Below are 6,620 nucleotides of genomic sequence, written 5' to 3'. Positions count from 1 at the left end.
AATAAAAACTAATAAGATATTTGTGAAGGGCATTGCCAGTCAAAACAATCATTTATGAATTACTGGTAATCTCAGGTTTCATTTGTTTACCTGGTTTTGCTCCCAGCGTCCCGAGGTAATTAACAGCATGTAAATGTACTGAGTCCCTGCTATGTTGTCACTAAAATAAGCATGTTCATACAAACTAATTATCTTTACATCTCTACCATTCAGCCCTGGAAACCGCGACAGTAAAGTTAATATAATTCTGGGCGGGGTATGCATATGAGAGGAGTGGCATAAACCAATTTTTGCCTACGTAACAGTTTTATCTATGATTGTTCCTGGAAACCGCAATGATTACTACATGTATTGTGGAAATGCTGTGACTCCCTTCCCTTCAGCACAACCAAAAATATAAAGACGAATTTCAATTCTAAGCCCCGGGTTTTAGACGGTGGCCAGGATTCCGCTACCGTTCTCACCTCCTCCGCAGATAGCGATTGGCGGCCGGATGCAATCATTCAAATGAAGCGCCGCCGTCTCATTGGCCAGGGGATGCTGCTCACCGATTGGTCCCGTGACGAGGAGGGCGGTGCCCGGAGGTCCTCATTGGTGGAGGCGGCAAGTTTAAACAGAGTCAAAACGCCATACTTGTTTGGCTCCTCTTTTTAATTTGCGAGTTTATTGGGCTTGTTTTCTGTTTTCTAGGGAGTAGGTTAGTGGAAAAGAAAAAGGGCCGAATTCACTCCCACGACCTCTACAGCCGCCCCTGAGGGGAAGCGGTCAGCGTAAGTCCCGGATCCCCGCTCCGGAGCCGCCTCGTGGGAGCGGGGCAAGGAGATCCAGGAGGGGTCTCGAATCTGCCATGGCGAACCGGCGAGTGGGGCGAGGCTGCTGGGAAGTGAGCCCGACCGAGCGGAGGCCGCCCGCGGGGCTGCGGGGCCCCGCGGCCGAGGAGGAGGCGTCTTCCCCGCCGGTCCTGTCTCTCAGCCACTTCTGCAGGTCTCCTTTCCTTTGCTTCGGGGACGTTCTCCTGGGAGCCTCACGGACGCTGTCTCTGGCCCTAGACAACCCTAACGAGGAGGTGGCAGAAGTGAAGATCTCCCACTTCCCGGCCGCGGACCTGGGCTTCAGTGTGTCGCAGCGCTGTTTCGTGTTGCAGGTAGGTCTCAGGAGGAGCGTGCTCCAGGCCGGTGTTCTGCTTCTCCGCTATCTTTCCTGCCACCCTCCTCAGGAAGGTTGACGATTGGAGAAGAAATCAGAAAAGACCCTTAGAGAATAAAGTCAGTTCCCTTTCACTCAATAACTGTGGGTGGCTCTTGGAAAAGAAATCAGAAAAGACCCTTAGAGAGTGAAGTCAGTTCCTTTTCAATAACTGTGGGTGGGCCCTTGACGCATACACATGTGTGTGAGTATATATATATGTGTCAATATTATATATATATATATATATATATTCTCTAATTGAAGGCTAGGATAGACGCTAACTTGGGCGGGGACAACACATAAACGCGCGCGCACTTAGCATCTTTAGGAGCAAGTTATATAGACTTCTCTGTTAAATTGACAAGCACTTTTACTAGACTTAAGGCGTTGTGAAATAGCCTTGCCGTTCTAAATTAATAGACAATGCACTTTTTTAACACTTTTTTAAGATTGACAGGAGTACCTTGGTTGGTTAAAGCAGCTTTTTTTAAAATTTCTATCAGCCATCTTAATATGCATTTTAGTTTCCATATGTACCCTTAGAGTCGAGGTAACTGGTTTTTTTTTCCGGTGAAATAGTGAGCTTTGTTCTGGCTAAATGCCTACAATAAAAACCAAAAAAACCTATTCAGAGTTGTTTTCAATATATACGTGTAGTATGTATGCACACTTTAGTATTTTAGTCCTTTTTTTCTTTGCTGTTAAGTGTAATTTTAATGCTGCATCAAATTTAATTTTATAAATGTTGTTTCAAGAACTCCTGTAGCTTTCTTTTACTGCATTGCATTTGCAAGAGTAATGCTCCAATCCCCTTCACCAAAGACTGGAGAATTTATGTTTTTATTTTGACTGCTGTGACCTTTCCATTGAGTAGAATCACCAAAAGTATGAAAACCGTTAGCCGAGGAGGTCTGAACTAGTAGGCTAATAACCACTTCATTAGGCAGAAAAAAGAGATTCTAATCTGAGGTCCCTTAACTTGTGTGTCACCAATGGTTCATCTATCTACACTTCAGAACCTACCCACCCCGCCCCTCTGTTTCATGAATCACTGCCTGCTTTCCTTTCTTTGGAAAGACAGATTTCTTTTCTATCCACATAATACTTCAACTTACTCTTTTTTGTTATAATGTGGAACTAAATTTTGTGGTATTTTTAGAATAAACTATTTTATAGAGTAAAAATGCACCATTCTTATTTTTTAAAATTAGTTGTTTATGATGTTATATTATTTCTCCTTTAAAACAGAAACTTGTCTGTTTCTCCTGAAAAACAAAATTTGTTTTGTCATGTCAGCGTTTAAATTTGGCAGATTCTGTCTACCTGCCAGGGTGTGGGGTGTAGATGTTAAAGTCCAAACTCTGGCATTAGACTGCCTGGGTTCTAATAGGTACCTGCGTGACTTTGGCAGACTTTTCTGGATGTTAGTTACTTCATCTGTAAAATGTGCATAATCATAATACCTGCTTCCTAGGGATGTTAGCATTAAATGAGTTTTACAGGATACCTGCACTTATGCCTGGAACAATAATACCTGTTTAAGAAATCTCAGTATGATGATGTGGACCTTAGAGGAATTTGTAAGGAAGAAGGAATTTAGCTGATCATCTTTACATTTCTTTTTAAATAAAGTCTTCATAATGCAGGGTCCTTGTGTTTGAAGTAGAAGTACTCTACACATCTAAAAATTAGAAATGTACAATTAAATCTTTTGAAACCACTCAAACAAAATGATTTAGAGACTATCTGTTCTATTGCTTTAATACAGTTAAGATTTTATTATTTATTTTGTTGTGAACCCTGTTATTTTTAGTGACTTTTTTTCTTATAATTAAGCAGATAGGGTAGGAGAAATATATTTGATTTATTAAATGTTTAGTATATAGAGTGTTGGTTAACAATTATTAAGCCCTACTATATTGTAAGTTGTATATAAGGTGTTTTGGTTATTATGTAATTACTATTGTAATTATATAATGTATTGTTTTGATTATAGCCTAAAGAGAAAATTGTTATTTCTGTTAACTGGACACCACTCAAAGAAGGCCGAGTAAGAGAGATTATGACATTTCTTGTAAATGATGTTCTGAAACACCAAGCTATATTACTAGGAAATGCAGAAGAGCAGAAAAAGAAAAAGGTAATGTTTTAACCATTCTGTGATTTACTCTAAGAAATTGTTTAATAATAAATAAAACTTATTTTGATAACAGGCTTGAAGTAATATTGCTTATTTAATATTCAATAGCTACAAACTTAATTGGTATATTTTCCTTATTTTTGCAGAGGAGTCTTTGGGATACCATTAAAAAGAAGAAAATTTCAGCCTCTACAAGTCACAACAGAAGGGTTTCAAATATTCAGAATGTTAATAAAACATTTAGTGTTTCCCAAAAAGTTGACAGAGTTAGGAGCCCACTACAAGCTTGTGAAAACTTGGCTATGAATGAAGGCGGTCCCCCAACAGAAAACAATTCTTTAATACTTGAAGAAAATAAAATACCCATATCACCTATTAGCCCTGCTTTCAATGAATGCCATGGTGCAACTTGCTTGCCACTCTCTGTACGTCGATCTACTACCTACTCATCTCTTCATGCATCAGAAAATAGGGAACTATTAAATGTACACAGTGCCAACGTTTCAAAAGTTTCTTTTAATGAGAAAGCTGTAACTGAAACTTCCTTTAATTCCGTAAATGTTAATGGCCAAAGAGGAGAGAATAGTAAACTTAGTCTTACCCCCAACTGTTCTTCAACTTTGAACATTACACAAAGCCAAATACATTTTCTAAGTCCAGATTCTTTTGTAAATAATAGTCATGGAGCTAATAATGAACTAGAATTAGTAACATGTCTTTCATCAGATATGTTTATGAAAGATAATTCACAGCCTGTGCATTTGGAATCAACAATTGCACATGAAATTTATCAGAAAATTTTAAGTCCAGATTCTTTCATAAAAGATAATTATGGACTAAATCAGGATCTAGAATCAGAGTCAGTTAATCCTATTTTATCCCCTAATCAATTTTTAAAAGATAACATGGCATATATGTGTACATCTCAGCAAACATGTAAAGTACCATTATCAAATGAAAATTCTCAAGTCCCACAGTCTCCTGAAGATTGGAGAAAAAGTGAAGTTTCGCCACGTATTCCTGAATGTCAGGGTTCAAAATCTCCCAAAGCTATTTTTGAAGAACTAGTAGAAATGAAGTCAAATTACTACAGTTTTATAAAACAAAATAATCCTAAATTTTCTGCAGTTCAGGATATTTCTAGTCATAGCCACAATAAACAACCTAAGAGACGTCCAATACTTTCTGCCACTGTTACTAAAAGGAAGGCCACCTGTACCAGAGAAAACCAAACTGAGATTAATAAACCAAAAGCAAAAAGATGTCTCAACAGTGCAGTGGGTGAACATGAAAAAGTAATAAATAATCAAAAGGAAAAAGAAGATTTTCATTCTTATCTTCCAATTATAGATCCAATATTAAGTAAATCTAAGAGTTATAAAAACGAGGTAACACCCTCTTCGACAACAGCTTCAGTTGCTCGGAAAAGAAAGAGCGATGGAAGCATGGAAGATGCAAATGTGAGAGTTGCAATTACAGAACATACAGAAGTGCGAGAAATCAAAAGAATCCATTTTTCTCCCTCAGAGCCTAAAACATCAGCTGTTAAGAAAACAAAAAATGTGACAACACCCATCTCAAAACGTATTAGCAACAGAGAGAAATTAAACCTGAAGAAGAAAACTGGTGAGTCTTGTTTATAAAATCTACTGAAGTATACCTGTAAAGGGGATACTTCCTTTTGGTTTAGTAAATCTGCTATTGATAAGCTTGTATTATAGTTTTTACTTATTTGCTGGGTACATTTCCTTAGCAAATGTGAATACAGCTTATGTGACATCTTGTATCTGTCTGATTTTTCTTTGCTTTTGCTGTTTCTTGTAGATATGTTCTGATCAGATAACAAATTCTTTGATAGTAAGGAACATACCTATTTTAATCTCCTACAAGATGTACAATAAAAGATGAATTGAATGAATGGATAAGTGAATAAATGAACAAATAAACCACTGAAAGGTCGACACTCACACCTACTGTTTGTTTGAGGCAGCCAGCTGGTTGAGCCTCTAGTCTAGAATCAGAATTGTACATATTGGGTATCTGATTTATGAGCCTATGTGAGAGGCAAGTAAGTCACCAAGAGTGGCTCTTTCTACCTCTTGACAAATCTAAGGGAACAGAGAAGGCAATTTTTCTAGATATATTTATTTGACTGATAAGGTACCTACTATGTGATGTGCATTTTTCTAGGCACTGTGTACACAGGGAGGAAAGGGATAATTCCTGTCCTCAAGTTGCGTTCAGTCCTGTGATTATGCTATGCTTAGGAAATTAAGGAAGCACAGAAGCAGAGGGTTTGTGTGTAAATTGCAAGGAAGTATGAGATGGTTCCAAGAAAGACTTCCTAAAGAAGAAAATGGTTGCAGGGAGAGGGACTAATTTCTGTAAGGTTTAAGAATGAGGAATTTCTCCTTAGAAATTTACTTTTTAAATGTTCAATTCATAGAACCTTACAATCTAATAAGTATTATGTTGCAATTTAGTCATGTTCCTTATTTTCACAATTGATATAGGTTTGAGATTACTTTAAAACAAGGGTAAGCAAACTGTTCCTCTACTGGTCCAGATAGTAAACATTTTAGGCTTTGCAGGCCATATAGATTTGCACTGCAATTACTCAACTCTGCTGCACTTGTGGGAAAACAGCCATAGACAATGTGCAAATCAAGGAGTATGGCTGTGTTTCAGTAAAATTTTATTCATAAACACCGAAATTTGAATTTTATGTAAGTTTTGTGTTTTATGAAATATTATTATTTTCATTTTTTTTTTAACTCTTTACAAATGTAAAAGCTATATTTAGCTCTTGGAACATACAAAAACAGTAGGGAGGGTTTTGCATGGGGAATGGATGTAGTTTGCTGACCCCTGCTCTTATTGTCTCTTTGCTTATATTTAGTAGCAGTATATTTTGTTGTGAAACCTGTTTTTGAAAGAGTGAACTGCTATTCCAATAGGTTATTTGCTACTGCAATTTGTATTGCATTTTCTTTGATAGCCACCTGGCATTATATCAACCATCTTGGTTACATATTTGGGAATCAGCCTGTTATTCTCTATCACTTTTCTAATAAGTTGGTATTAAGGGTTGTTTCTTCCACTATTAAAATAACTCTCCTCTGATTTGTCTCCATTGACTCTGTTTTAATTTGTCTCACCATATCCACCTTGGGTCATTGTAATAACTGCTTTGTAATTTTCTGTTTCTAATCTTGACCCTGTTCATTCCATTGTCCATACTGTTTTCTTAAATATAAATGAGGGTTTTTACTTCCTTGATTAAAATTCTTCA

General features: G+C 37.2%; 1 protein-coding gene across 2 annotated transcripts in view, besides 1 other annotated feature; it reads left to right on the top strand.

The window, feature by feature from the left end:
* ASPM (assembly factor for spindle microtubules) overlaps positions 616 to 6,620 on the top strand; it is a 62,543-nt gene continuing 56,538 nt past the window's right edge. For both annotated transcript variants that reach the window (NM_001206846.2, NM_018136.5), the window contains exons 1-3: positions 616 to 1,144; positions 3,185 to 3,328; positions 3,475 to 4,954. In NM_001206846.2, coding sequence (NP_001193775.1) covers positions 848 to 1,144; positions 3,185 to 3,328; positions 3,475 to 4,954 — 1,921 coding nt within the window. In that variant the 5' untranslated portion in view covers positions 616 to 847. The remainder of the gene's footprint in view (positions 1,145 to 3,184; positions 3,329 to 3,474; positions 4,955 to 6,620) is intronic.
* Positions 932 to 1,111: a silencer, noted in NCBI's record as "silent region_1659". NCBI's record gives its function as "represses an Ori minimal core promoter by ATAC-STARR-seq in GM12878 lymphoblastoid cells {active_cell/tissue: GM12878}" and the evidence as "EXISTENCE:reporter gene assay evidence [ECO:0000049][PMID:35858748]".

The sequence above is a fragment of the Homo sapiens genome, chromosome 1, assembly GCF_000001405.40.
Source record: "Homo sapiens chromosome 1, GRCh38.p14 Primary Assembly".
Classification (NCBI taxonomy): domain Eukaryota; kingdom Metazoa; phylum Chordata; class Mammalia; order Primates; family Hominidae; genus Homo; species Homo sapiens.
Note: the sequence above shows the minus strand (reverse complement) of the source record. Positions and strands in the feature narration are given on the sequence as shown.